The sequence below is a fragment of the Homo sapiens genome, chromosome 15 (assembly GCF_000001405.40).
Source record: "Homo sapiens chromosome 15, GRCh38.p14 Primary Assembly".
In the NCBI taxonomy this organism is placed as follows: Eukaryota; Metazoa; Chordata; class Mammalia; order Primates; family Hominidae; genus Homo; species Homo sapiens.
In genome coordinates, this window is record NC_000015.10 from 56,845,604 (window position 1) to 56,847,233 (window position 1,630).

General features: G+C 37.8%; 1 pseudogene; it reads left to right on the forward strand.

Annotated features, from left to right (window-relative positions):
* NREPP1 (NREP pseudogene 1) lies at positions 710-1,209 on the forward strand (annotated as a pseudogene).

Genomic DNA, 1,630 nt, shown 5'->3' on the forward strand with positions numbered 1-1,630 from the left:
CTTAAATAACAAAAAAAGTAAGAAAAAATCTTATATATTTTTGTTAATGGGCACACAACATATAAAGATATAATTTGTGACAATCACAACATAAAGTATGGGCAGCGCTGTATAGAGCTATAGAGCAGAGATTTTTGTATGCTATCAAAGCTAAATTTGGATCAATTTAAACTAGGTTGTTATAAATTTATGAAGTTGATTGTAACCTCTGTGGTAACCACTTAAAATTTTTTTAATTTTAATTTTTATTTATTTTTTGAGACGGAGTCTCACTCTGTCGCCCAGGCTGGAGTGCAGTGGCACGATCTTGGCTCACTGCAAGCTCCGCTTCCTGGGTTCACGCCATTCTCCTGCCTCAGCCTCCCGAGTAGCTGGGACTACAGGCACACGCCACCACGCCCGGCTATTTTTTTTTTTTTTTTCATTTTTAGTAGAGACAGGGTTTCACTGCGTTAGCCAGGATAAAATAAATTTTCAACATACTGATAAGAAAATAGAGGAGTTTGAGGCTGCAGTAAGCCATGATCATGCCACTGCACTGCAGCCTGGGCAACAGAGCAAGAACCTGTCTCTAAAAAAAGGTCAAGAAAATTAGAAGGGTATTAAATGATACACTACAAAAAAAAAATCAATGGAATACAAAAGAAGGCAGTAATGGAGGAAATGAGGAACAAAAATGGTATAAGACATACAGAAGGAGTGCCTGGAGAGCAGCAACAGCCCAGCTGCCGCCACCATGTCCCTGCAGGCTGATTTTGACATGGTCACAGAAGATGTGAGGAAGCTGAAAACAAGACCAGATGATGAAGAACTGAAAGAACTTTATGGGCTTTACAAACAAGCTGTAATTGGAAACATTAATATTGAGTGTTCAGAAATGCTAGAATTAAAAGGCAAGGCCAAATGGGAAGCACAGAACCCCCAAAAAGGATTGTCAGAGGAAGATATGATGCGTGCCTTTATTTCTAAAGCCGAAGAGCTGATAGAAAAATATGGAATTTAGAATAAAGCATATGATAAATTTTCCTTTTTGAAGCCTTCATAATGGTATCATGACCAAACATTTAGAGTTAACGCTGTTAACTCTAGGTATCATGTATATTTTTGCTATTATTATGAATTATACTTAATTAGTAGTATGCTAAAACTGCATAGTTAACTAAATTGTACTTGCTTAAACCAGGTGTCTTTAAAAGTTCTTTTAGAAAAGTATTTTTTTTATTTTTATAGATTTAGGGGGTACAAGTGCAGTTTTGTTGCATGAACGTATCATGTAGTGGTGAAGTCTGGGCTTTCAGTGTCCCCATCACCCAGATAGTCTACAATTGTGCCCAAAAGGTACAATTGTACATTCCTTACCCCCCTCGAACCCTCCCACCTTTCCAAGTCTCCAGTGTCTATTGTTCCACACTCCATGTCCATGTGTACACATTGTTTGGCTCCCACTTATGGGTGAGAACATGTGGTATTTGACTTTCCATTTCGGAGTTATTTCACTGAAGATAACGGCCTCCAGTTCCAACCATGTTGCTACAAAAAACATGATTTCATTCTTTTTCTTAATGGCTGAGTGGTATTCCATGGTATACATATACCATATTTTCTTTGTCCAATCATCTGTGGATAGACA